Source organism: Homo sapiens, chromosome 1 (assembly GCF_000001405.40).
Source record: "Homo sapiens chromosome 1, GRCh38.p14 Primary Assembly".
Lineage (NCBI taxonomy): Eukaryota > Metazoa > Chordata > Mammalia > Primates > Hominidae > Homo > Homo sapiens.
The window spans coordinates 11,098,463-11,125,855 of NC_000001.11; the positions used below are offsets into that span (position 1 = coordinate 11,098,463).

The 27,393-nt window shown below is 45.9% G+C and overlaps 2 protein-coding genes and 1 long non-coding RNA gene across 13 annotated transcripts in view, besides 4 other annotated features; 1 reads left to right on the forward strand and 2 right to left on the reverse strand.

The window, feature by feature from the left end:
- The window catches only part of EXOSC10 (exosome component 10), a 33,252-nt gene extending 31,845 nt beyond the window's left edge, over nucleotides 1-1,407 (reverse strand). For all 3 annotated transcript variants that reach the window (NM_002685.4, NM_001001998.3, XM_005263475.3), the window contains exon 1: nucleotides 1,259-1,407. In NM_002685.4, coding sequence (NP_002676.1) covers nucleotides 1,259-1,369 — 111 coding nt within the window. In that variant the 5' untranslated portion in view covers nucleotides 1,370-1,407. The remainder of the gene's footprint in view (nucleotides 1-1,258) is intronic.
- Nucleotides 573-1,135: an enhancer, noted in NCBI's record as "NANOG-H3K27ac-H3K4me1 hESC enhancer chr1:11159092-11159654 (GRCh37/hg19 assembly coordinates)". NCBI's record gives its function as "activates a minimal SCP1, AML or CMV promoter by ChIP-STARR-seq in naive H9 embryonic stem cells {active_cell/tissue: H9 hESC(naive)}" and the evidence as "EXISTENCE:reporter gene assay evidence [ECO:0000049][PMID:30033119]".
- Nucleotides 748-949: a silencer, noted in NCBI's record as "fragment chr1:11159267-11159468 (GRCh37/hg19 assembly coordinates)". NCBI's record gives its function as "represses an EF-1alpha promoter that drives an FKBP-Casp9 reporter gene in an ReSE screen in phorbol 12-myristate 13-acetate-treated (for megakaryocytic differentiation) K562 erythroleukemia cells {active_cell/tissue: K562(+PMA)}" and the evidence as "EXISTENCE:reporter gene assay evidence [ECO:0000049][PMID:32094911]".
- Nucleotides 787-846: an enhancer, noted in NCBI's record as "active region_164". NCBI's record gives its function as "activates an Ori minimal core promoter by ATAC-STARR-seq in GM12878 lymphoblastoid cells {active_cell/tissue: GM12878}" and the evidence as "EXISTENCE:reporter gene assay evidence [ECO:0000049][PMID:35858748]".
- Nucleotides 1,136-1,696: an enhancer, noted in NCBI's record as "NANOG-H3K27ac-H3K4me1 hESC enhancer chr1:11159655-11160215 (GRCh37/hg19 assembly coordinates)". NCBI's record gives its function as "activates a minimal SCP1, AML or CMV promoter by ChIP-STARR-seq in primed H9 embryonic stem cells {active_cell/tissue: H9 hESC(primed)}" and the evidence as "EXISTENCE:reporter gene assay evidence [ECO:0000049][PMID:30033119]".
- On the forward strand, nucleotides 1,213-3,643 carry EXOSC10-AS1 (EXOSC10 antisense RNA 1). 3 transcript variants are annotated; one of them, NR_135061.1, is made up of 2 exons: nucleotides 1,213-1,448; nucleotides 3,339-3,643. It is a non-coding gene; the product is annotated as an EXOSC10 antisense RNA 1 (long non-coding RNA). The 3 variants fall into 3 exon arrangements; NR_135062.1 differs by having other exon boundaries at nucleotides 1,213-1,352; NR_135063.1 differs by lacking the exon at nucleotides 1,213-1,448 and adding an exon at nucleotides 1,557-1,622.
- The window catches only part of MTOR (mechanistic target of rapamycin kinase), a 156,017-nt gene continuing 136,696 nt past the window's right edge, over nucleotides 8,073-27,393 (reverse strand). For 5 of the 7 annotated variants that reach the window (NM_001386501.1, NM_004958.4, NM_001386500.1 and 2 more), the window contains 12 exons: nucleotides 26,036-26,171; nucleotides 23,517-23,664; nucleotides 22,784-22,906; nucleotides 18,542-18,624; nucleotides 16,934-17,006; nucleotides 16,351-16,425; nucleotides 15,856-15,991; nucleotides 14,390-14,455; nucleotides 11,187-11,267; nucleotides 10,828-10,908; nucleotides 9,719-9,824; nucleotides 8,073-9,038 (listed from right to left, as the gene is read on the reverse strand). In NM_001386501.1, coding sequence (NP_001373430.1) covers nucleotides 9,023-9,038; nucleotides 9,719-9,824; nucleotides 10,828-10,908; nucleotides 11,187-11,267; nucleotides 14,390-14,455; nucleotides 15,856-15,991; nucleotides 16,351-16,425; nucleotides 16,934-17,006; nucleotides 18,542-18,624; nucleotides 22,784-22,906; nucleotides 23,517-23,664; nucleotides 26,036-26,171 — 1,124 coding nt within the window. In that variant the 3' untranslated portion in view covers nucleotides 8,073-9,022. Of the gene's footprint in view, nucleotides 9,039-9,718; nucleotides 9,825-10,827; nucleotides 10,909-11,186; nucleotides 11,268-14,389; nucleotides 14,456-15,855; nucleotides 15,992-16,345; nucleotides 16,426-16,933; nucleotides 17,007-18,541; nucleotides 18,625-22,632; nucleotides 22,907-23,516; nucleotides 23,665-26,035; nucleotides 26,172-27,393 lie in introns of those variants that run through there. The other 2 variants (XM_047416721.1, XR_007058581.1) reach the window with 2 other exon arrangements.

Sequence of the window (27,393 nt, forward strand, 5' to 3'; positions counted from 1 at the left end):
TGATTGCTTTATTTGGACTTTAGTGTTCTCCTCTGAGAAACAGGAAAAATAAAAAGGGCCTGCACCACAGAGTTTTTGTGAGGACAGAATGAATAAGCTAATAAAAGCACTTAGGACAGTTCTTGGCACATAAGCGTTATTATTACGACTCAAGTTCAGATCCAAGAGCTTTCTACAGGAATTTGTTTTTGTGTTTTCATCTGGATGAGCATCTAAAAACAATACAAGCTTATCCTAGATCCTTGGACGACAAATTTATAACAGCTACTATCTAAAACTGGATTTGTGTTTATTGTTCAGTTAGTGTCAAGTGGTTCTCTATTTTAACTGTTGTGAGGTAACGAAAAAAAGCCGTGAAGTGACATAAATGATGGCTGATCATGTGAAGGCCTAAAACGTCATTGTGAGTTTTGTGAATAAACATTTCCCAAGAAAAAAGCAGAGAAAGGAGGTGGGAAATTAAGTCACGGAGGGGAACATGGTAGCTTATGAGCATGACCGCCACACAACCAGGACCACAGTTAGTGGTCCAGGAACTATTGAGAGCCATGTTAATGAATCAATAGCATTAGCTAACAGCAAATTAGATAAGATACAACGTTAGTGGAATTTCTGTAAATTTATAGGGTTAATTTACAAATTATTTTAGTTTCATTGCTTTGTAAGAGCTATGCACACCTTAAGCCTAGTTGTACGTTTGCTCATATTTAAGCTAAGTTATACAAAGATCTTAAGTGAACGCCCTGTATACCTTCCAGGAGTTACTAATAAACGTGCAATGGGGCTTTAACAGGTGACATTTAACTCAGGGTTAAAAATTATGTAGGACTGGACTTCAGAAACAGAGGAAGAGAAGGGCCATACTGGCCGCGGGAGGAGACAACTCCAGGCAAGTGTGGGGAGCGCGAAGAAGCCGAGCCCCTGCGGAGAGCTGGTCGGGTGGCTAGGGCGTGGCGAGCGCGACGTCGCAAGGGCTAGGGACGTCTGGGTGGCAAGGAAGCCTTTCCCAGGATGCGAGACGGCTTTCCACATTTGGGCCTCCATGGACTTAGGCTCGCAAGCGGGACGCCCCTCAGTGTCCGTTTCCGAGGCCCCATCCCCGGAGGGTGCAGGAGAGTCTGCGCCCAGCGCGGACAGGGGCCCCGCGACCCTCGCTCGGGCTCCACTACGGCGGGCGGGCATTGGCTGCCCAGAGGGCCCAGTCGGCTTCCGGCGGCCGCGGGCGACTCCTGGTACCCCCGAGGCCCCGCGAACTCACCTTCACAAAGCTGTCGGCGTCCGGGAAGCCTGGCAGCACCATCTCTCCGTCGGATTTGGTTGCGCTGGTCGCCGACAGGACCCTGGGCTCCCGGGTACTGGGTGGCGCCATTTTTTCAGCCTGCACGGCTCGTCTCGCGAGAGCTTGTCGGCCGAGGAGACGGGACGCGTGCGCACCACGCATGCGCCAGGTCGAAGCGGCGGGCGGGGCGTCTGATTATAGTGTGGGGAGCCTGCGATTGGGGTGGGGCGCCTGCGATTAGGTTGGGAAGCCTGCGTTTAGGGTGGGGCACCTGCGATTAGGTTGGGAAGCCTGCGATTAGGTTGGGAAGCCTGCGATTAGGGTGGCACTTTCGAGCGCTCTGGTGTGAATTTCACGTTCTTTTACCTCATATTGTATCATCCCAACAACCCTGTGATCTAGGGTGCGGCCTGGAGGACCTGACTATCACATATATTTTTGACACGAGGTTTGCCCAATCTGGTTTCGAACTCTTGGGCTCAAGAGATCCTCCCACCTTAGCCTGCGAAGTAGCAGGGACCCCAGGCGAGGGCCACGATCCCCGCTTATCCTCGTGTTTATTTAAAAATTTAAAAAACAAACAAACCGGGATTACCGGGAGTGGTGGTGCGCATCTGTAGTCCCAGCTGCTCGGGAGGCTGAGGTGGGATGGTTGCTTGAGCCGAGGAGGTGGAGGCTCCACTGCACTCCAGCCGGGGTGACAGGATGAAACCCTGTCTCAAAAATTTCTTTTTAAGGTTATGTTTTTGAGGCTGGGCGCCGTGACTCACACCTGTAATCCCAGCACTTTAGGAGGCCGAGGCGGGTGGATCACCTGAGGTCGGGAGTTGGAGACCAGCCTGGCCAACATGGTGAAACTCTGTCTATACTAAAAACACAAAAATTAGTCGGGCGTGGTGGCACATGCCTGTAATCCCAGCTACTCGGGAGGCTGAGGCTTGAGCCCGGGAGGTGGAGGTTACAGTGAGCCGAGATCGAACCACTGCATTCCAGCCTGGGCAACAGAGTGAGACCTTGTCACAAACAAACAAAAAAAACCATGTTTTTGGGACAAAGTTTCACTCTTGCTCTCCCAAAGTGCTGGGATTACAGATACGAGTCATCAGCGTGCAGCCTATTTTTATTTTTATTTTTTTTGAGATGGAGTCTCACTCTGTTGCCCAGGCTGGAGTGCAGTGACGCAATCTTGGCTCACTGCAACCTCCCGCCTCCCGGGTTCAACGAATTCTCTTGCCTCAGCCTCCCGAGTAGCTGGGATTACAGGCGTGCACCACCACGCTCGGCTAATTTTTTTCGTATTTTTAGTAGAAACGGGGTTTCACCATATTGGCCAGGCTGGTCTCGAACTCCTCACCTTGTGATCCTCCCGCCTCGACCTCCCAGAGTGCTGGGATTACAGGCGGAGCCACCGTGCCTGCCCTGTTTATTTTTTTTTTTTGAGACAGAGTCTCACTCTGCTGCCCAGGCTGGAGTGCAGTGGTGCAATCTCAGCTCACTGCAACCTCCGCTTCCTAGGTTCAAGTAGCTGGGATTACAGGCGTGTGCCACAATGCCCGGCTAATTTTTTTTTTTTTTTTGTATTTTTAGTAGAGATGGGGTTTCACCATGTTGGCCAGGCTGGTCTTGAACTCCTGACCTCAAGTGATCCACCTGCTTTGGCCTCCCGAAGTGCTGGGATTACAGGTGTGCGCCACCAGCGCCTGGCTTATTTTTTTTAGACTGCATCTTACCAACCTGGTCTCGAACTCCTGGGCTGAAGCCGTCCTCCCACCTCACTGGGATTACAGGCAGGAACCACTGTGCCCGGCCCAGCCTCATATTTAAAGTCACCTCCTCCCAAGCTCTGGCTGGTTCTGTGTTCCCCTCACCCATTTGGTCTTGACTCCTGTAATTAATTACACCTCCCCTGCCCCCTGGATCTATCTTTTCCCTCTCTATTGGTTCATTCCTAACAGCCTACAAGTACACTGACATCTTTCCCAACTAAAAGAGAAAAGGAAAAAACACTGGCTCCCACATCTCCTTCCAACTGCCATCATCTCTCTCTTGCCCTTTACAGGTAAGCTCCTGAAGAAAGCGTCTAGCTCCAACTGTGCTTCCTCCCTCCAGTACCCTCTGAACTCCTCCAAGCAGACGTTGTTTCCTGCAGACATCGCTGGAACCATTCTGGTTAACACAGAGTGGGAACTCAGTACACATTTGTGAAGTGAACTCCTGGAAGAGCTCTTGTGAGGGAGGCACCGAATTATCAGGCAGCTCAAGAGATAGATTCACTCTCCTGAAATTAGAGATGGGATGCCCTTAATACAATTCATTCCACCCATTAAGTCTTCAATAAATGTTCAGCATATCCAGTTAAGAGAATACTTGCTTTTCACTTTTTCCGTGTGTGTGCTTCAGGTACACAGGTACTCTGGCAGGACAAACGCCTAGTTCATTTAGTATTTTTGAGGACCTATTTCACGTGGTTCAACCTAATACCACATGTCAGTCAGGCTGTGCTAAATGCTCCTCCATGGATTATCTTGTCTTTCAGACAGCCTCACAAGGTAGGGCTTACCCACACTTTCAGAGGAGACAAGCAGAGAGAATCTACGTAACTTATCCAAGGTCACAAAGGTACTATGAGATGCAGTTGATATTTGAAACTTAGTAAGTTGACACTACAGCCTTGATTCTTTTTTTTTTTTTTTTTTGAGATGAAGTCTCACTCTATTGCCCAGGCTGGAGTGCAATGGCATGATCTTGGCTCACTGCAACCTCTGCCTCCCGGGTTCAAGTGATTCTCCTGCCTCAGCCTCCTGAGTAGCTGGGATTACAGGCGTGCACCACCACGCCCAGCTAATTTTGCATTTTTAAGTAAGAGATGGGGTTTCACCATGTGGGCAAGGCTAGTCTCAAACTCCTGACCTCGTGATCCACCCGCCTCGGCCTCCCAAAGTGCTGGGATTATAGGCATAAGCCACCATGCCCGGCCTCAGCCTTGATTCTTAAAAAATACAACTGGCTGGGCGCAGTGGCTCACACATGTAATCTTAGCACTTTGGGAGGCTGAGGTGGGAGGATGGCCTGAGCTCACCAGTTTGAGATCAGCCTGGACAACATGGCAAGAATCAGTCTCTACAGAAAATACAAAAATTAGCCGAGTGTGATGGCATGCACCTGTAGTCCCAGCTACTCAGGAGGCTGAGGTGGGAGGATAACTCGTGCCCGGGAGGTGGAGGTTGCAGTAAGCTGAGATTGCACCACTGCCCCCCAGCCCGGGTGATAGTGCCAGACCTTGTCTCCAAAAAAAAAAAAAAAAAAAAAAAAAAAAGAAAAAAATAGTTAACCTGTTAACAACATCTGGTGATTAGGGGCTCCCATCCCTTTGAGCAGTCGAAAATCCACATATAGCTTTTAACTCCCCCAAAACTTAACTAATAGCCTCCTGTTGACCAAAGGCCTTACCGATAACAAACGGTCAACTGACACATATTGTGTGTATGTATTGTATTCTTACAATAAATTACGAAAATTTTAAGGAAAATATATTTACTATTCATTAAGTGGATCATCATAAAGATCTTCATCCTTGTTTATGTATTTATTTTTAGAGATAGGGTCTCTGTCATCCAGGCTGGAGTGCAGTGGCACAATCATAGCTTACTGTAAGCTTGAACTCCTGGGCTCAAACAATCCTCTGGCCTCAGCATCCAGGGTAGACTGGGCCCATGCCACCATGCCCAACGAATTTTTTTATTTTTTGTAGAGGCAGGGTCTCACTATGTTTCCCAGGCTGGTCTCAAACTCCTAGATTCAAGCAATCCTCTCACCTTAGCTTCTCAAAGTGTTGGGGTTACGGGCATGAGCTGCCGTGCCTGGCTGGACTAAACTGTATTTAAAGGCCTCCACTAGCTCCTCCTCTGCCTTTGATAATTTGTCTCAACACACCCAGAAGGCTTTGCTTAGATATAACTTAAAACCTATCGGATTCACCAAAGACCTTAATCCAGACTCTTATATCCTAAAGAATATATCTTTATCACTGATGGCCACCATTTTCCTGCCTTTATCATTCTCACACCTTTATCGTTCATGAATAGTAACATCACTGTAGTCACTGAGAGTTATTTCATCTGGAGCCAGGAAAGTTATGGTGACCATATTTTCTGGAGCAAATAGGTGATACATGGTTTAGGACTGTAACAGAAAATCCAAGTAGGTATGTGACTTTCTAGCTGTGAGTGTTAGAACTGTTATTAGTATCACCATTGAGATTTAAATTCACCTTTTTTTTTGGAAACAGTCTTGCTCTGTCACCCAGGCTGGAGTGCAGTGGTGCGATCTCGGCTCACTGCAACCTTTGCTGCCCGGTTCAAGTGATTCTCCTGCCTTAGCCTCCTGAGTAGCTGGGATTACAGGCGCCTGCCACCATGCCCGGCCTTTTTTTTTTTGAAACGGAGTCTTGCTGTTGCCCAGGCTGGAGCATAGTGGTGCAATCTTGTCTCACTGCAACCTCCGCCTCCCAGGTTCAGGCAATTCTCCTGCCTCAGCCTCCCCAGTAGCTGGGATTACAGGTGTATGCCACCACACCTGGCTAACTTTTGTATTTTTAGCAGAGACGGGGTTTGGCCACGTTGGCCAGGCTGCTCTCCAACTCCTGACCTCAGGTGATCCACCTGCCTCAGCCTCCCAAAGTGCTGGGATTACAGGTGTGAGCCACTGCACCTGGCCACCAGTTGCCTTTTAAAAACACCACTCAGGGCTGGGCACAGTGGCTTCTCTGGGAGGCTGAGGGGGGCAGATTGCTTGAGTCCAGGAGTTCAAGACCAGCCTGGGAAAGATGGCAAAACCCCATTGTCTACAAAAAATGTTGCGGGAAGTCAGGAACCCTGAATGGAGGGACTGGCTGAAGCCATGACAGAATAACATAAATTGTGAAGATTTCATGGACATTTATTAGTTCCCCAAATTAATACTTTTATAATTTCTTACGCCTGTCTTTACTGCAATCTCTGAACATAAATTATGAAGATTTCATGGACACTTGTCACTTCCCCAATCAATACCCTTGTGATTTCCTATGCCTGTCTTTACTTTAATCTCTTAATCCCGTCATCTTCATAAGCTGATGAGGATGTATGTTGCCTCAGGACCCTGTGATGATTGCATTAACTGCACAAATTGTTTGTAGAGCATGTGTGTTTGAACAATATGAAATCTGGGCACCTTGAAAAAAGAACAGAATAACAGCAATGTTCAGGGAACGAGAGAGATAACCTTAAACTCTGACCGCCGGTGAGCTGGGCACAACAGAGCCATATTTCTCTTCTTTCAAAAGCAAATGGGAGAAATATCGCTAAATTATTTTTCTCAGCAAGGAACATCCCTGAGAAAGAGAATGCATCCCTGAGGGTAGGCCTCTGAAATGGCTGCTTCGGGGGCGGCCGTCTTTTATGGTGAAAGCTGTAGGGATGAAATAAGCCCCAGTCTCCCATAGCACTCCCAGGCTTATTAGGACGAGGAAATTCCCGCCTAATAAATTTTGGTCAGACTGGTTGTCTGCTCTCAAACCCTGTCTCCTGATAAGATGTTATCAATGACAAAGCGTGCCCAAAACTTCGTTAGCAATATTAATTTTGCCCCGGTCCTGTGATCTTGCCCTGCCTCCACTGCCTTGTGATATTCTATTACCTTGTGAAGCACGTGATCTCTGTGACCCACACCCTATTCGTACACTCCCTCCCCTTTTGAAAATCACTAATAAAAACTTGCTGGTTTTATGGCTCAGGGGGGCATCATGGAACCTGCCAACATGTGATGTCTCCTCTGGACACCCAGCTTTAAAATTTCTCTTTTGTACTCTGTCCCTTTTCTCAGACCGGCTGACACTTAGGGAATATAGAAAAGAACCTATGTGAAATATCGGGGGTGAATTTCCCCCAATATACAAATATTAGTTGGCGGTGGGGGTGCTCATCTGCAGTCCCAGCTAATTGGGAGGCTGAGGCGGGAAGATCACCTGAGCCCAGGGGGCCGAGGCTGCAGTGAGCCATGACTGTGCCACTGCAGTTCAGCCTGGGTGACAGAGCGAGACCCAGTCTCCAACAAAAACAAAAACAAAAAACACCACTCAGATACTACTCCGTTTTAAAACTTCACAGCATCAGGTTCATACTCCTTGCTGCTGAACTGAGGGAGGCCCCGGTCTGGCCCCGGCCCCGTACTGCTTTCCTGCCTCCTTTAGTTCCTATTATTTTCCTGTTACTCCCTTTATTCCCCACTGACCACTGAGCCAGACATGCTGAACTATGAGGTGCAGCCATAAGAAAATGCCAGTTTTGTATATTAAAAATGGTCCACGTACCTGTGATTTCAAATGGTCCAACTGATACTTGCCACTGCTATGGATACCTTGCTTTTACAGCAGTGCCTCACACTTCCTTTTCTGCTGAGAATGCCCCCCCCTTGGTTCATCTGACAGACTCCCACCCCTCTTTAAGACCCATGCCAAATGTCCCCCTTTCTATGGGGCTTTCCAGGCTCACCCGGTGGAATACACGCTCCTACCTGTGGCCCATACATGCCTCTTCTCAGCACTTGGCCGGGGTAAGTTCTGTTCACTTCAGTGGCATGCTGTCTCCACCTGTCTGGCCTGGGAACAGTCTGAGGAAAGGGACCATGTCACGTACACCCTTACGTCCTCTGTCATCCCTACTACAGAGTGTTTACTGAAGGCTGAGTGCTGAAGAGAGTAAATGCTTCCTTTTTGAACTGATCAAAATTATGACTAAAACGCCACTCATATACATATGTTTAAAATTCTGATGTCATTTATTGGCACAAAAATTATTCTGATACAACATGGTGTCTAGACATGGCTACACTTTATACTTTGTGCATTTAGTTGAGTATTTGTTCTGCTCATAATTTCCAATATGTACCAGACCTTCCCTGTGTTCAGCACCTCCATGACAGTATTTCTGTTTTCTGAGCCCTTGCTCTAAACAGAGTATTTTGACCACTGAAAACATCCCAGAACCCTGCTGCAGAAGGCCAGTGAGGGTGGTCCCACTGCACAGTGATCCCCTCTGTGCATCTGCTCAGCCGAGGCTGCCAGCGATCTGAATAAACCTCCCTACTAGCGGTCAGGTCTTGAATTGAAGCGTGTGAGTCGCAGCATCACTGGGTCTGATGGAAGACAGACCTTTTGTACTCATTTTGGCCTATCTTGCAAACATTTCTGCTGCTGTCCACAGACCAGTGAGGTCTTGGGATAGGTGGCAGGGGTGAGGTCAGCATCTTCTGTGTCTTTACAGTCTAGGATCCTAATCCATGTTCTCCACGACCTGAGGCTTCTTGGCTGTGCTGAGTTTGCTGTACCCATGTTGAGAGGAGCAACTAGGTCATTCTTCCATCAGCAAGTACTTATGATGAGTTCTCTTGTGAGTTAAGTCAAAACCCGTATTTCTAAAGTTATGGATCTTCTGTTCCCCAAAATGAATGGCTTGATTTACGTGGTATTACTATGTTTCACTGTCCTGGGAACCAAATCAAGCCTTGTGTTTCTGACAATATATTCTTCAACAGCAGCTAGAAAGTTGGTTCAAACCAACTTTTAATATACAGTAGTTCTTTTCATTTACATTTCAAAATATTTAACAAAGTCAAACTTTCTCACCATGGTTTCAGTTTAGTGGAAGCATTTACTAAAGTACAAAAGCCTCAGAAAAAACGTGATGGGCACATCTGGGCCTCCAGTTACCAGAAAGGGCACCTAAGAAGGCAGAAAGAAAAGGAATATTTTAATAATTTGAGCTTCTTCAAAGGTTTACACAGATAACTTGAAAATGAAAAGGCCAAGGTCTGACAACCCTAGGGTATTCCCTGAGCTCTCCCACAGCTAATTGCATGGGACACACTCATCATTTCCAGTCAAGGCTAATGCCCACCGAGGTCCCGCAAGGACACTTCCCCAGCGCCCGCTCTCTCAAGTTTCTGCCTTCAAGCATGCCTTGGGCAATTAATCAAAGCACACCCCAGAGTGGCCCTTGAGGTTAGACTCCCAGATCATAAATCTGTCTTTTTATCTCCTTCTCTCTGTCACTGCTCTAGCTTTTTCTTTCCTTCGCCCTTCCTGTATCTCTGCACTGGACTGACAGCAAAACCCAAAAGGAACCCCTCACAAACAAACAAGCCTTGCCTATTCTCCTGAACCACTTATCTTAATGTAATTTTAATTTTAGTGTTTGCCTTCCAAGTATGCATCCATATTTCTCAGTTTCTTTTTTTATAACAATGGGCACATGCAGTAAATATGAATTTTTAAAGAGATCTGAGCTCTAACTGCCCTTTACAGATACCTCACCAAATCTCTTTTTGCTACTCTGGCTTTGGGGCCTAGGCTTGGGACCTGATTGCTTATTTTAACAAAGTCACTTTGAGAGCCCCACTCACCAGCCAATATAGCACTGGCAGAGGTTTTCATGGGATGTCGCTTGTTTGATGAGCAGCTCAACTTGCGTTGGAACATCCAAAGTGTCATCATGAGAGAAGTCCCGACCTAGCACAGGAGGAACAAAAACATTTCACTCTCTTCCTGGCAATCGATGCACTTCTTGTTCCCTGTGGGCTTAACTGTCTATGCCAACAGCTTATCGTCAGACATGAAGATGAAGGATACCATCATAGTTGGATTTGAAAAGTTTGGCCAGGTGCGGTGGCTCACGCCTGTAATCCCAGCACTTTAGGAGGCTGAGGCAGGCAGATCACCTGAGGTCAGGAGTTCAACACCAGCCTGGCCAACATGGTGAAACCCTGTCTTTACTAAAAATACAAAATTAGCCGAGTGTGGTGGCACATGCCTGTAGTCCCAGCTACTTGGGAGCCTGAGGCAGGAGAATCACTTGAACCTGGAAGGTGGAGGTTGCAGTGGGCCAAGATCGCACCACTGCACTCCAGCCTGGGTGACAGAGCAAGACCCTGTCTCAAAAAAAAAAAAAAAAAAGAAAAGAAAAAAAGAAAAATTCGGCCGGGTGCGGTGGGTGAATCACTTGAGGTCAGGAGTTTGAGACCAGCCTGCCCAACATGGTGAAACCCCATCTCTACTAAAAACACAAAAAATTAGCTGGGCGTGCACCTGTAATCCCAGCTACTCGGGAGGCTGAGGCAGGAGAATTGTTTGAACCTGGGAGGCAGAGGTTGCAGTGAGCCAAGATGGAGCCACTGAACTCCAGACTGGGCAATAAGAGCAAAACTGTCTCAAACAAACAAAAAAAAGACATGATTAAAAAACACTTCTCTGAATTTGGCTGATTTTGGACCCAAAAGAAATTTATTCACCTCCTGAGTTAAATGAGATTAAACTAACATTAAGTACTGTTATCAGTCATCAGAAAGAAGAATCAGAGACAATGTTTAACTGATGACCTCAAAGACACTCTTTGTCAGCTGCATGGTGCCAAAGCTCGTCACTAACACCACTGGACATGGGGCTGACCACCACTCAGAGAGGAAAGTGTGCTCAGATTTTATGTCCCTTTTAAGTAAACACATGACACACTCACCAGTGAGCTTATCTCGAACCCTGTTAATAATCTGGATAGCTTTCTTATTTAGGGCCTCTGGTTTCACCAAACCGTCTCCAACTGGAATACACAAAAGTAGAAATAACTGTAAGAATGGGAGCAATACAACAGGTTCAATGGGTGCCCTGTTTTTCTCAAATATTCACTTTTGTAAGTGTTAAGCAATCCTTCCTCTATGTCCGTCTTTGTCCTCAGAATATAATGAGAAATTCATGGAACCTTTTCTGCTCAAAGGCAGTTTTGTTGCTTCATCTTGTTGACCCCTCTCAGGGTATAACACAGCTGCTATTTTCTTAATGAGCTAGTCACTGGTGCGGTTCCTCAGAGGCTGAACTTACTGAAAGAATGAATAGATTCTGGCACTGTGGTCCCCGTTTTCTTATGGGCTGGCTCTCCAAGTTCCACACCGTCCAAAATTTCTATGGGAAAAGAAATCAATTAACAGAAAATTCAAACACCAAAAAGCCACTGTTGGTGTTAGCATCTAATTCTCTACGCACTCTATTCCTTTAACGCCTGCCCTACCTACCCTAAAGGGGAAAAGAGAAGGAAAGTTTTATGTTACTCTTTATGTATTTCAAAGTTTTAAGCTGGACATAGCTGTAATCTCAGCTACTCAAGAGGCTGAGGTGGAAGGATCACTTGAGTAGCTGAGTTCAAGACCAGCCTGAGACTCCATTTGCAAAAAAAAAAAAAAAAATTTTTAAATCTGTAAAGCCATTTTCAAATGTGAGTTAATAATTATTGAAAAAATTTGGTGCTTATCAGAATTGAAACATGGATTTTCAGGCAAATTGCATTAACAAAATAAACTCATAGGAATAAGAACAGGTCAAAAGCCTCGTGACAAAATGTGTTTGGACAAAAACTGATAAAGAAAATTAACTTCGGAATGTGTCACACACAAGGTTGAAATGTTATTCCTTGGAGGAATTTTCATATCAGCTCTGGGTAGAAAAAGTCCTCAGGTGTTAGGTTCACCCTCCACTGATTATGGCTTTTAGCAGAGAAGAGTCTGAAATCAGAATTATGAAGTTTTTTGAATGCTGTCCTTGTACATCACAGACCTTCTGAATGAAGGTAGTGATAATTATACTTCTTTTTTTTTTGAGACGGAGTTTCGCTCTTGTTGCCCAGGCTGGAGTGCAGTGGCATGATATCGGCTCACTGCAACCTCTGCCTCTCAGGTTCAAGAGATTCTCCTGCCTCCCGAGTAGCTGGGATTACAGGCATGCGCTACCATGCCTGGCTTATTTTGTATTTTTAGTACAGATGGGGTTTCTCCATGTCGGTCAAGCTGGTCTCAAACTCTTGACCTCAGGTGATCCGCCTGCCTGGGCCTCCCAAAGTACTGGGATTATAGGCATGAACCACCGCACCCGGGTGATAGTTATACTTCTATTAATGATCCATTGGAAGTTCTTTTTTTTGAGACAGGGTCTTGCTGTGTTGCCCAGGCTAGTCTCAAACTCCTGGGCTCAAGTGCTCCTCCTGGGCTTACAGGTGTGCACCACAACACCCAGCTGGAATTTAACTTTTAAGCTAAACAACCAAATCCACCACCATCTGGTGCCAGCAGAACTGGCTGTCCTAGTTCCCTTCTGTATGCTACAGACAGCATATAGTAGCCACTTGAGAATTGTTAGGGAGGTGGGCCCTGAGAATGAAGCCAGTAAGTCTCAGCACACTTCGTTTGAGACCAGCCACCAGTATAAGCTCCCCCAGAGACTGTGTGTCCTATGAGCCTGGTGATTCAGGCATTCACAAATCCTGTCACAGTGTCCATGTATGACATTATAAGCCAGTATCCCAATTTCTTGCCTGAAACACCCTTTTCCTTTCTACCCATCAGATTCCACCCATCCAATAAGGATAAATTACCCTTTGGCAAGGTGGGGTGGCTCATGCCTGTAATCCCAGCACTTTGGGAGGCCGAGGCGGGCAGATCACTTGAGGTCAGGAGTTCGAAACCAGCCTGGCCAACGTGGTGAAACCCTATCTCTACTAAAAATTCAAAAAAATTAGCTGAGCATGGTGGCATGCGTCTGTAATCCCAGCTACTTGGGAGACTGAGGCAGGAGAATTGCTTGAACTCGGGAGGCAGAGGTTGCAGCGAGCCGAGACTGCGCCACCATACTCCAGCCTGGGTGACAAAGCGAGACTCTGTCTCAAGAAAAAAAAAAAAAAAAGAAAGAAAAATTACCCTTTGTCAGGTGAAGTGATGGTTAGATGCCACCAACCCAAGTGCTCTCTTCGCAGCTACGGTTCACAGTGAAGTCCCCTTTTCTGAATCTCCACAGCCCTACTCCACACGAAAGCACCCGCAGGCTCCACGGCAGAGTCTCCTGCTCTCTGACTATTTCACGCAGGTTATGGTCAATTCTGTAATGCTTTCTGTGCTTCTTCAGGCGACCACTGTACCTCACATTTTCTTTTTGCACCCCTAGACATTATTTGGCTTAGTTTATTAACTAGTTGTAAGTGCTCTGTAAACATTTGTAGAAAAGATATACTTTTTTACACCCTAACAGTAATTCCCAAAGTATGAACTATGTAGGGTGTTGCTAAATGTCACGAAGGAAAAAAGGGGTGGGATGGGGAGTGCGGGGAAGAGGGGAGGGCTAAACAAAGTTAAACAATTTTACTCAAAAACAAACAAACAAACAAACAAAAAAACCCCCCAAAACCAGTAACTTCAATGCTGTGTGTGCTGGAAACTAATACAAATAAAATAAAAGTTAAACAGCTTGACTCAAACACTCCTGAGAGGTTTCCACACACAAAAAGGACTCTGGCTCTCAGAGGGACACAAGTCTTCTAGACCCCTGCTCTGTGAGTCGCGCTCCTAGAAACACTGTTCCATGTGGTTCCAGGGTTCCTCCCAGCAACGCAAATAAATTTCTGCTGCTTCCATCTTCCCATTTCTGAGCTATTATCAATGCTTGAGGACCAAGGTAATACTGTTAATAATTATTCCAACCCAGACACCATTAGTGAGCTGATATTCAGACATACTTTAAACTGTGTTTTTACAGATAGATTAAAATCAGATAGTTTGATAAAAATCTCAGAGCTTCAGGTACCCACTCCATGTGTGAAACAGTAAATAAAAAACATATTAGCTGCTTGGTGCTCAGTAAATATTTCTAGACCAAGTATTTGAAGTTCAATTAAATGCTTATCAGGTGATAAGCTAGCAGTAATAGCACCTTTGCAAAACTATCACTGTCAAGAACCACGAGAAAACTAGATTTACTTCCTTCATGTTCAGTAGCCATTACCACTTTAAGTTATGCCTCCTACTGTCAATAACAAAGCCCATCCCATTCTAGAAACACTCTGGACAAGGGGGAGAGCCTCTGCAGCCTCCCACGGGATGCACCCACTGACTGAAGCCCACCCCACTCTAGAAACACTCTGCACAAGGGGGAGAGCCTCTGTAACGTCCTGCGGGATGCACCCACCGACTGAAGCCCACCCCACTCTACAAACACTCTGCACAAGGGGGAGAGCCTTTGCGACCTCCCGTGGATGCACCTACCGACTGACTGGCCAGCAGAGTAGGAATCCGTCCTCGTTCGGGATCGCTTGTTGCCTTTGGTATTTGCTAGGGAGAGAAATAAAGAGTATTGAAACATGCTTCAAATTTTGACTTGAAAGAAACTTGGTTATTTTCTTCCAGTCATAAAAATATAATTGTTCGTAAAGCTATAGCCCCAAAAAAAGAGATGACAGACATATTACTCAGGAATAAGTGGGTGGGTATTAGCATGGGATGTGAAACCCAGGGGGACACTCTATACTGTTGATTTGGACTTAGACAATGTAATACAGATAATATAAGGTCAAAGTATGATTTAATTTCAATGGATTAGAAGCTCTTTTGGTGAACATCCCCTAAGGTGGCAGAACAAAGGGTAGATGAAGATACTGCTGTCCCAAATCATAACTGTTTGCGTTTCTTATTAAAATTTCAGCTTACTACTCTATATAAAGCCCAGAGAAAAATCACTAGGATACTTGGTTAATACTGAAGAATATTTTAGTATCTAAATTGATAATGGCATTTTCTGTTTTAGTTAATAAAAATACTTGAAGTTCTTTTCCAGGTGTCAGAGTTACTCTGTGCAAATGTAATGCAATAGCTCTGCAATGTATCCCAGGCTGCAGGCTTGAAGGGGCATAGGTTTGTAAAATGTTATGTGCTGGATATTGCTAATTTGGGAGGCTGCCAACCCCAGCTTCCACACACTTGATTTTATTTTTTATTTGTTTTCTTTTATTTTTAAAATTAAATTTTTTATTTTTTTATTTTTTTGAGACAAGGTCTCACGCTGTCACCTAGGCTAGAGTGCAGCAGTGGCATGATCATAGCTCACTGTGCCTCAACCTCCCAGGCTCAGGTGATCCTCCTGCCTCTGCCTCCTGAGCAGGTAGGACCACCGGCATGTGCCACTGTACCCACCTTAATATGGTTTGGCTGTGTCCCCACCCAAAATCTCATCTTGAACTGCAATTCGAATTGTAATCCCCATGTGTTGTGGGAGGGACCTCATGGGAGGTGATTAGATCATGGGGATGGTTCCTCCATGCTGTTCTCGTGATAGTGACTGAGTTCTCATGAGATCTGGTGGTTTTATAAGGGGCTTTTCTCCCCTTCACTCTGTACTTCTCTCTTCTGCCCCCAAGTGAAGAAGGAAGTGTTTGCTTCCCCTCCCACCATGATTGTAAGTTTCCTGAGTTCTCCCCAGCCAAGCAGAACTGTGAGTCAATTAAACCTCTTTCCTTTATAAATTACCCAGTCTCAGGCAGTTCTTTATAACAGCGTGAGAACAGACTAATACATGCCTAATTTTTTCAGTTTTTGCAGAAAGGGGTCTTACTATGTTGCCCAGGCTGGTCTCGAACTCCTGGCCTCAAGCAACTCCTCTGCCTTGGCCTCCCAAAATGTTAGGATTACAGGTGTGAGCCACTGAGCTCAGCTCCCAGGCACTTGATGATACTCACTGTCCATCAGCCTCCAGTTCAGCAAGGGGTCATAGACAAAGGCTTCCAGCACGGCCATGACACTGTCCTTGTGCTCTCGCAGCACCTCCATCACTGTGTGGCATGTGATTCTGTAGTTGCCATCCAGGCCTGTAACCTAGAAATGGGACAGAGCCACTCACCACAGGAGTTACTAACTCTCCACCCAAAGCAAGCCGAGGGGGTCTGTTACCCTCACTTAGGAAGCAGACACAGGCCATGTTGACGTATCAGGGTGAGAATGTCTTAGGAGAAGGAATCAGGGCAGGACTGTGATCCACAGGAAACCAGGTCAGAAGTGAAGTGGTAAGCCTTTCATAGATAGGTCATTTCTAACACAATAGGAAATAACAGAAAACTGCTACAAAAATCACAAAGGCACTTTGGAGAACTGATGGGCTCTAACAAGCGTGTTCTCAGAAGGCTGTAACTGTCCTGATCCCATTTGGAAGCAGCTCGTTCCCGATATCCACTCACCTCCATAGCATTGGTCAACATTCTTGTTAGTCTAAATGGAATCTTCTCTGGAAACTTCTCTCGGGTCATAGCAACCTACAGAATAATAAATGGGAAAAGCCAAATCAATGTTTATTTTCTTTACCTGGAGCCAGGTGGAGCAGGTGGCTTTCCTCTGCATCACCTGCACTGATTTTAATTATAGCAGGGAAAGGAAGCAGCTTGGGTTTAGTGAGAGGACTTGTCACAGGGATTTGAAAGACAACTTAAAAAAAAAAAGAAACGAACAACAGAAAAGAAGAGAAAACAAAAAGGAAAAAAGACAAATGTGCATCGTGTCCAGGCTCTTGGGCAACAGGTGGTATGGAGGGTAGGGGCCTACTCTACTCAGAGGGCATGGGAACAGCAGCCCTTGCTCCAAGGGGGTTAGAGTCCAACTAAGAGCCCAGATTTCATTTCTTAGACTGACTTAACTACAGCCTTGGTAGGGCCAGCAGGGGTTAAGAGTAAGGCAGTTTGGGCTTAAGTCTGCCTACAGTGTCAGAGGAGGGGGAAAAGTGATCACCCGGGAAGATGAGGTTGGGGTTCTAGAACATGTGTTCACCTCAAAGCAGTCCCCAAAGTCAATGTGCAGGATCTTCCCACTCAGACGGTCCAGCATCAGGTTGGATGGGTGTCTTTGAGAAACAGAAGACAGATCAGGGAGGGATCAACAGAGATAACGGATGAAAAAATCAATAAGTACGTGATACTGTAAGCTAGGAGTTGGCAAACGATAGCCCTCAGCCAATCCAGCCCCTCCACCTCCACTTCTGCAAGTCCAGTTTTACTGGAACACACAGCACGCTCCCTTGTTTAAGTACTGTTCCAGGCTGCTTCCATGCTACGACAGCAGAGCTGACTAGTTGTGACAGAGACCAAAGGGCCCACAAAGCCTAAAACGACCTATTAACTGGTCCTTTACAGAAACAGTTTGCCAACTCCTGCTGAAATGTGGGCTTATGTGTGAATCACAGGTTGTCCCACTGTACTGAGATACTGTGCTTTTCTGAGGTCTTTGGTGACCTAATAAGTCATTTCTGGCAGCACTGGCACCTTCTGGTGACAAGGCTCTATCATTTTTACTGAGCAGCCGTAACAGGGTCTCATCTCCTTAAGTCCCTGAGCCAATCCCGGCAACCACCTGGCTTTTATCAACAGATATTCTGCTAGACTTTTAAAAACAAAAATCTACTATTTTTGTGGGGTAAAATTATTTTTACTCTCAAATAGTTGCATGAGACATGATTCCAGGAGAAAAACAGTAGACATCAGAGAACCAGTCTTTTTTACATTCTTGTGAGTCCGTTTCTGAACATTCGTAAATTACATGTTCAGTCAGTACACTTGGACAAAACTTATTATGCAAAAATATCAGAAGGATCTACTTTGGTTGGTTTCAATTACAGAAATAAAATGATTTATCTTAGCACAGTGGTGACTGACAAATGTTTCTTGAATCAATAAAATCAATATGATTTAGTATTTTTGTTTTTTTCTTTGAGACAGAGTCTTACTCTGTTGACCAGGCTGGAACACAGTGGTGCAATCACGGCTCACTACAGCTTTGACCTTCTGGACTTAAGTGATCCTCCTACCTCAGCCTCCCAAAGAGCTGGGACTACAGGTGTATGCCACCATGCTTGGCTAATTATTTTTTGTAGAGACGGGATCTTGCTATGCTGCCCAGGCTGGTCTCAAATTCCTAGGCTCAAGTGATCCTCCCACCTCAGCCTCCCAAAGTGCTGGAATTATAGGCATGAGCCAATGAGCCTGCCCTGCAATACAGCTTTTAATACATTAAGCCAGACTAAGGAGAAAGTAGTATCCTTGAACTATGTGGGGCTTTATTGAGATGGGGTCTTGCTATTGCCCAAGTTGGTCTCATACTCCTGGGCTCAAGTGATCCTCTCACCCTGGCCTCCCAGGATGACAGGCATGAGCCACTGCACCCAGCTTGAACTATTTTTCCTTTTCTTTAGTTTGATGTATTCTTCTGATGGCATCACAATCAATAGGGAACTAAGGCTAATGTTGTAAAAGAGACCTTACATATACAATACCAATATTTATTTACCAAAAAGCCATATATTTAATTGGAAAACCAAATGAAACCATTCAGGAAAACTACAATGGAGAAAGAAGACTAAAAAAACCAAATTAAATTACTCACCTATCTCCCAGGCCTAAAATATACCCAACCATTGACATGACCGCTAAAGAACGGGTATAATTGGTTCTTCGGTCAAACCACACCTAGAACACAGGAGTGCATGTGAACTACGGTTCTGGAAACTTTAATTTCAACATAATTATACTCTAATAAGCTGTCTTTGGTTTGTACTTTTGAGACCGAGTCTCGCTCTGTCGCCCAGGCTGGAAGGCAGTGGTGCTATCTTGGCTCACTGCAGCCTCCACCTCCCGGGTTCAAGCGGTTCTCATGCCTCAGCCTCCTGAGTAGCTGAGATTACAGGCACCCGCCACCATGCCCAGCTTATTTTTGTAGTTTTAGTAGAGACGGGGTTTCACTATGTTGGCCAGACTGGTCTTGAGCTCCTAACCTCAAGTGATCCGCTTGCCTCGGCCTCCCAAAATGCTGGGATCACAGGCCTGAGCCACTGTGCCTGGCCTAATCAGTTGTTTTCTTACAGTCCATCAATAACTGGTTAGAATGTATAACATTATAAAGACCTCATTCACAATTCTAACAATGAACTATGCCTTGAATTAAACTTAATTAGAAATGTGTTAGACTTAAAGATCTGAGTAAATGAAAAATATCAGTTTAAGGATATCCCCTTATGAGTATAAAGATGTTAACAGCCTCAAGAAAAAAAATAGATGACGATAGCCCCTGAGAAGGGACTTGTATTAACACCATGGAACTTGAGAAACAGGCCGAAAGAGCAATGAAACAGAAGAGGAGCCCTAGAAAGAAATCCAAGGACACGTAGAATTTAGTGTTTAGGCTGGGCACGGTAGCTCATGCCTGTAATCCCAGCACTTTGGGAGGCCGAGGTGGGTGGATCACCTGAGATCAGGAGTTTGAGACCAGCCTGACCAACATGGTGAAATCCCGTTTCTACTAAAAATGCAAAAATTAGCCGGGTGTGGTGGTGCGTGCCTGTAATCCCAGCTACTCAGGAGGCTGAGGCAGGAGAATCACTGAACCCAGGAGGCAGAGGTTGAAGTGAGCCAAAATCATGCCACTGCACTCCAGCCTGGGCAACAAGAGCGAAACTCTCTCTCAAAAAATAAAATTAAAAAAAATTCAGTGTTCAATAAAAACAAAATCTTCTAAATAGCAGGGAAAGGATGAATTATTTGGCCAACAGTGTGGTCATGGCTAGTCATGTTTAAAAAAATAAAGTTACGCCTTAAATTCCAAACTTAGTTAATTTTTTTTTTTTTTTTTTTTTTTTTTTGGACAGAGTCTTGCTCTATTGCCCAGGCTGGAGTGCAATGGCACAATCTTGGCTCACTGTAACCTCTGCCTCCCTGGTTCAAGCGATTCTCCTGCCTCAGCCTCCTGAGTAGCTAGGATAACAGGCACGTGCCACCATGCCCAGCTAATTTTTGTATTTTTAGTAGAGACAGGGTTTCACCACGTTGGTCAGGCTGGTCTTGAACTCCTGACCTCGTGATCCGCCCGCCTCGGCCTCCTAAAGTGCTGGGATTACAGGCGTGAACCACCGTGCCTGGTCTTGTTTATTTTTAAGAGACGATCTCACTATATTACCCAGGCTGGAGTGTAATGGCTTTTCATAGGTGTGGTCTTTTTCTTCTTCTTTTTTTTTTTTTTTTTTGAGACAGGGTCTGGCTCTGTCACTCAGGCTGAGTTACAGATTGTGCAGTGGCACAATCTCAGCTAACTGCAACCCTTGCCTCCTGGCTCAAGTGATCCTCCCGCCACATCCTCCTAAGTAGCTGGGACAATGGGCAAGTGCCATCATGCCCGGCTAATTTTTTATTTTTTGTAGAGATGGGGTTTTGCGACGCTGCCCAGGCTGGTCTCAAACGCCTGAGCTTCAAGCATTCCACCTGCCTTGGCCTCCCCAAGTGTTGGGATTATAGACGTGAGCCACTGCACCCCGCCCATAGGTGTGGTCTTAATGTGCAACAGCCTTGAACTCCTGGGCTCAAGCAATCCTCCTGCCTCAGCCTCCCAAGTAGCTGAGACTACAGGTGTGTACCATAGTGTCTGACTTGGGTTAAGACTTAAATGTAAAAAAAACCCTGTAACTAGTATAAGAAAATATAGGTAAAAAAATAACCTCAAGGTGGAGAGGGCCTTTCTAAATATAAAACCAAAGGAAGAGGCCAGGCACCGTGGCTCATGCCTGTAATCCCAGCACTTTGGGAGGCTGAGAAGGGCGGATAACTCGAGGCTAGGAGTTTGAGACCAGCCTGGCCAACACAGTGAAACCCTGTCTCTACTAAAAATACAAAAGAGTGGCCGGGAACGGTGGCTCCCGCCTGTAATCCCAGCACTTTGAGAGGCTGAGGCGGGCGGATCATGAGGTCAGGAGATTGAGACCATCCTGGCTAACATGGTGAAACCCCGTCTCTATTAAAAATACAAAAAAAAAAATTAGCCGGGCATGGAGGCGGGTGCCTGTAGTCCCAACTACTTGGGAGGCTGAGGCAGAAGAATGGTGTGAACCCGGGAGGCGGAGCTTGCAGTGAGCCGAGATCGCGCCACTGCACTCCAGCCTGGGTGACAGACTGAGATTCCGTCTCGAGAAAAAAAAAAAAAAAAAAAAAAAAAAGCCGGGCATGGTGGCACGCGCCTGTAATTCCAGGTACTCTGGAGGCTGAGGCAGGAGAATCACTTCAACCTGGGAGACGGAGTATGTAGTGAGCCGAGATCGTGCTGCTGCACTCCAGCCTGGGTAACAGAGTAAGACCTTGTCTCAAAAAAAAAAAACAAAACAAAACACACAAACAAACAAACAAAAAAAACAAAAACAAACCAAAGGAAGAAACTTTAAAGAAAAGGATTAAAAATTTGGTAACTTCTAACTTTAAAAAATGCCTGTACAGTCATATCTCTAAGTTAGGGCCCCCATCGGATCCCAAAATCTGCAATACTCAAGTGCCTTATATAAAATGGTGTAGGCCGGGCGTGGTGGCTCATGTCTCTAATCCCAGCACTTTAGGAGGCCAAGGCAGGAGGATAGCTTAAGACCAGGCTGGGTGACACAGTGAGACTTTGTCTCTAAAAAAAAAAAAAAAAATTTATATATATATATATAAAATTGCTTTGAGACAAGGTCTCGCTCTGTCACCCAGGACGGAGTGCAGTGGCATGGTATGGCTCACTGCAGCCTCATTCTCCTGGATTCAAATGATCCTTCCGAGTAGCTGGGCTTACAGGTGTGTACCACCATGCCCGGCTAATTTTTTTGTAGAAATGGGGTCTCACAGGCTAGGTGTGGTGGCTCATACCTGTAATCCCAGCACTTTGGGAGGCCAAGGTGGGTGGATCACTTGAGGTCAGGAGTTTGAGACTAGCCTGGACAACATGGTGAAACCCTGTCTCTACTAAGAATACAAAAATTAACCCACATGGTGGTACGTGCCTGTAATCCCAGCTACTGGGGAGGCTGAGGCAGGAGAATCGCTTGAACCCAGGGGGCAGAGGTTGCAGTGAGCCGAGATCTTGCCACTGCACTCCAGCCTGGGCGGGGAAAAAAAAAAAAAAAGAGATGGAGTCTCACTATGTTGCCCAGGCTGGTATTGAACTCCTGGGCTCAAGTGATCCTCCTGCCTTGGCCTCTCAAAGTGCTGGGATTACAAGTGTGAGCCACTGCACCCAGCCAAAAACAACTTTTTAATAAAATGGCATAGTATTGTATGTAACCTATGCACAACCTCCCTTATATTTCAAATCATCTTGGGTACATATAATACCTAATACAATGTGAATGTTATACAATGTAAACAGTCATTCTACTATATTTTTAAAAATTTACATTTCTTATTGTTATATATATTTTTAAAAAATATTCTATCCACAGTTGGCTGAATCCACAGATGCAGAAGCTACGGATATGGAGGGCTGACTGTGTATCAAAAACCAAACCAAACCAAACAAAAACTCCAAACCAAAGAACACACCATTAGCAAAATTTAAAAACTAAGTTAATAGGAAATTTGTAACATATATAAAAAAGACAACTATCTTTAATTCTTTAATATATAAAGAGTTCTGGAGGAAATATTAAACTACTCATTCTAACTCTGTGAACTTGTCTTGCTCACCCATTTCATTTTTGTTAGAAAAGTCTGGACACGCTCTACAGCCAATCACAGCAAAGAAGAGCCGCTGTGTGCACATGAACAGATGGGAGGGCCATCCTATTGCGAGTGGGGGTTCCAGGAGAGCGCAGGTCTGCAGGGCCCAGTGGCCTACCTCGGAGCTGGGGCTTTTCAGCCACAGCAGCTTGGCCAGGTCGTCCCCAGCTGTATTATTGACGGCATGCTCAAACACCTCCACCTTCTGCATCAGAGTCAAGTGGTCATAGTCCGGAGCCATCTGCATCAGGACACAACTGTTCAGTAAGAGAGCAGCCTAAGACATGTAGTTTGGGTCCAGGAAGAAACAAGGCTTGGGGTCCAGGCAGAGCTGAGTTCTAATTTCCCCATCATAGCCAAAGGAGAAGGGAAATAAGAACATGGCAAAAGGAGAAACGAAGTGACCACTCTAACCTGATGACCACTGGAACCCCAAGGCATAAGGGAAAAACACGAGACTTCACCTCAGTTATAGGCCTTCTGTGCAGATGAGAGTACTGGAAGTTTCAAGGTTTTGGAAAACAAGCAATTCTCTTTCTTATTACTTACACATCTACTAAACATTATTTCTCCATATGGCCAGTGCTTTGTATACATTAGTAAATATATGGTGCCGAATATTTATCTGTCTAGTCTTCCCTAGGATGGTGAAAACAATTTCTCAGCTTAAGGGTCCTTCAGTTTCTTACAAGCTTATCTGCTTTAGGACTCACTTTATTAAACCTTCTTCAAAGCTGATTCTCTCAAAGAGATTTTTCAGTGACAGACATACAGAGAGGAATGAGAAAAGCAGCGCTACGGAGATTCCCTGCCACGGAAGGGGCACTAGCTCTCGTGGCCGCATCACATACCCGCAACATGATGCGATGCTCGATGTTGAGAAGGATCTTCTTCTTCTCCCTGTAGTCCCGGATGAGGGCGTGCAGTGTGTCACAGTGGGGAACCCAGCCAATGAGGCCCGAGTTGGTCGATAAAGGGATGACAGCGTATCTCTGGATGCTGGCGCCCACAGAAAAGCAGGGTTAGTGTACCGTAAAGAGAGTATACCCTTGAGCAGCTCAGAACACAGGCAGACTGTTTTTTTTTTCTTTTTTGAGACAGAGTCTTGCTCTGTTGCCCAGGCTGGAGTGCAGTGGCACAATCTTGGCTCACTGCAACCTCTGCCTCCTGGGTTCAAGTGATCCTCCTGCCTCAGCCTCCCGAGTAGCTGGGACTACAGGCGTGTGCCACCATGCCCAACTAATCTTTTTATTTTTGGTAGAGACGGATTTCACCATGTTGGCCAGGATGGTCTCAATCTCTTGACCTCATGATCCGCCTGCCTCGGCCTCCCAAAGTGCTGGATTGCAGGCCTAAGCCACTGCACCCAGCCCTATTTTTTTTTTTTTTTTTTTTTTTTAGATGGAGTCTTGTTCTGTTGCCCAGGCTGGAATGCAGTGTCACTATTTTGGTTCACTGCAACCTCTGCCTCCTGGGTTCACGCGATTCTCCTGCGTCAGCCTCCCGAGTAGCTGGGATTACAGATGCACAACACCACACCCGGCTAATTTTTTGTATTTTTAGTAGAGACGGGGTTTCACTATGTTGGCCAGACTGGTCTCGAACTCCTGACCTCGTGATCCACCCTCCTTGGCCTCCCAAAGTGCTGGGATTACAGGCGTGAGCCACCGCGCCCGGCGGCCCTGACTATTTTTAATGAGCCCCCGCCGCAGCAGGCTGGTGTGAAGTGTGTGTTGAGGGATGCTTTGTGAAGAATAAGGCATCACAGAAAGACAGTGCACTGATGGTGCAGTGAAAGCAACACAGGTCTCCTCAACCTGCCCAAGAAACTCATGGCTTTGGGGGAACAATCAAGTGACTAAAATACCTCTCAAGTGAATTCTCATGGTTTTAACAGGAAGAGGAGTGCCAGAATACGGACGATGGGAAAGGTTTGGCTTTCATCCCACAAGGGGTCAGACCCATCCCATCTGTAGACTCTCCAGTCTACCCGCCACAAATTGCTCCCTGCTGGATTCTTTGGAGGTTGTTAAAGGCATTTCCCAATGAAAATACCCTAAAAACTCTGGAAGAACTTGGTTATAAATTATAAAATTTTATAACTTAATTTTTCATTTTTAAAACATTTAAAAAATATTATTTACTTTTTGAGATAGGGTCTCGCTGTTACCTAGGCTCGAGCACAGTTGCCCCATCACAGCTCACTGTAGCCTCGACCTCCTGGGCTCAAGTGATTCTCCTGCCTCAGCCCCCTGAGTAGCTGGGACTACACTGTGCCCAGCTTTTTTTTTTTTTTTTTTTTGTAGAGACAGGGATTACAGGCGTGAGTCACTGTGCCCAGCCTATCTTTATTTTTTGAGAGAAAGGGTCTTGCTCTGCTGCCCAGGCTAGAGTGTAGAGGCACAACCTTGTCTCACTGCAGCCTCAACCAACTGGGCTAAGATGATTCTTCTGCCTCCATCTCCCAAGGAGCTGGGACAACAGGCATGAGCCACCATGCCCAGCTGATTTTTTTATTTTTTGTAGAGACAGGGTCTCACTTTTTTGTCCAGGATGGTCTTGAACTCCTGGTCTCAAGCAATCCTCCTGCTGTAGCCTTCCAAAGTGTCGGGATTACATGTGAGCCACCATGCCTGGCCACTTAATTTTTTTTTCCTTACTTTAGTTATTTATTTTTGAGATGGAGTTTCACTCTTGTTGCCCAGCCTGGAGTACAATGGTGCAATCTTGGCTCACTGCAACCTCCGCCTCCCAGGTTCAAGCAATTCTCGTGCCTCAGCCTCCTGAGTAGCCGGGATTACAGGTGGCCGCCACCACGCCCAGCTAATTTTTGTATTTTTAGTAGACACAGGGTTTCACCATGTTGGCCAGGCTGGTCTCGAACTCCTGACCTCAAGTGATCCACCTGCCTGGGCCTCCCAAAGTGCTGGGATTATAGGCATGGGCCACCGTGCCCGGTCACCTTTTTAATTTTTTTAAATAAATAGTGATGGGGTCTCTCTATGTTGTTTAGGCTGGTCTTGAATTCCTGGGCTCAAGTGATCCTCCTACCTTGGCATTACAAAATATTAGGATTATAGGTGCGAGCCACCATGCCCAGCCTTTTTCTTCTAAAGAGACAGTCTTGCTCTATTACCCAGGCTGGAGGGCAGTGGCACAATCACAGCTCACTGCAGCCTTGAACTCCTGGGCTCAAGCCATCCCCCTGCCTCAACCTCTGGAGTTTCTGGGACTACAGGCATGAGTTACCATGCCTGGCTCCCTAATTTTATAGTTTTTTGTTAAGATATAATACATGACTACACGAGACAAATGTAGGAAAAAACCAGAAGACTTCTCAAATTGTTGCCATTTCAGGGTTTCTGAATACCTGAGGTTTTTCCGAAGAGATGTTGGGTCATTGGCCAGAAGGGTGTTAACCAGGCCGAAGAGCTGCATCACACGCTCATCCTGGCGCAGATCTTCATGGCCTTTTAGAAGGAAAACAAACTCATGTCCGTTGCTGCCTGTAAGGAACAGTGGGAGCGGTGAGTGTACATCAGAGGTCCTCAGCTCTTCAGCTGAGAGCACCACTGCATTCAAGAGATCCCACAGACTACATATGCCTTACCTAATCACACGTTCCTCACAAAAAGAAAAAACAATCTTTAGAATTAATGAAAAGAGTGGCTTTGCCTTTTATGGTTCTCAATGACCAGTGTTGTTCAAATTAAAACAAAACAAAATCTGTTTTTGAGGACCAGGAACGGTTAGGCATGGAAATGATCATTCCTGTTTTCCGACCCACTCTGTCCTCCTCTGTTCTGAGAAGCCTGACTCCTACAAGCCGCATCACCTGGGATCCCACTTGGGCGTGGCCAATGGTGGAAGGGTACTGGCAGGAGGTCAGAGGATGGGTAGAGGGAGAGGTCAGGGTATGTGTCCCCCATCACCAGCCTGGCCCCAGTTCTAGAAGCTACCACTCTCTCTGGACTGTAGACTCTGCTAGATGGCCTCTCTGGCATGGTGACGGTTCTAGCTGGGCTCCTTGCTCTTTCAGTTCTGGAGTGTGGGGGTGGGTGAGGGCTGAGTAACAATTTCTCACTTGTGCTTGTTCATGAGCGCTCCTTGTTGATTCTCTTAGCTTTGCTTACACCTCTGGAAACAATTCCTTTCTTAAACTCTCTTTAATTAAACACCCCAAGAACCAGCCTGACCCACATTTTGTATCAGAAGACAACAGCTCATGCAGAGATAATCACCTGTGGACCATGATTAATTGGTGTTGGTGAATAATCACTGCATTTAAGAAACATTGAGCATTATTAAGAGCGAGAGGTGAGGCTGGGCGCGGTGGCTCACACCTGTAATCCTAACATTGTGGGAGGCCAAGCTGGGCGGATCACCTCAGGTCGGGAGTTTGAGACCAGCCTGGCCAACGTGGTGAAATCCCATCTCTACTAAAAATATAAAAATTAGCTGATTGTGTGGCATGCGCCTGTAATCTCAGCTATTAGGGAGGCTGAGGCACGAGAATCGCTTGAACTCAGGAGGTGGGGTTGCAGTGAGCCGAGAGCACACCACCTCACTCCAGCCTGGGCAACAGAGTGAGACTCTGTCTTGGGGAAAAAAAAAAAAAAAAGAGCAAGAGGTGGCTGGGCGCAGTGGTTCACACCTGTAATCCCAGCACTTTGGAAGGCTGAGACAGGCTGATCACTTGAGGTCAGAGTTCGAGACCAGCCTGGCCAA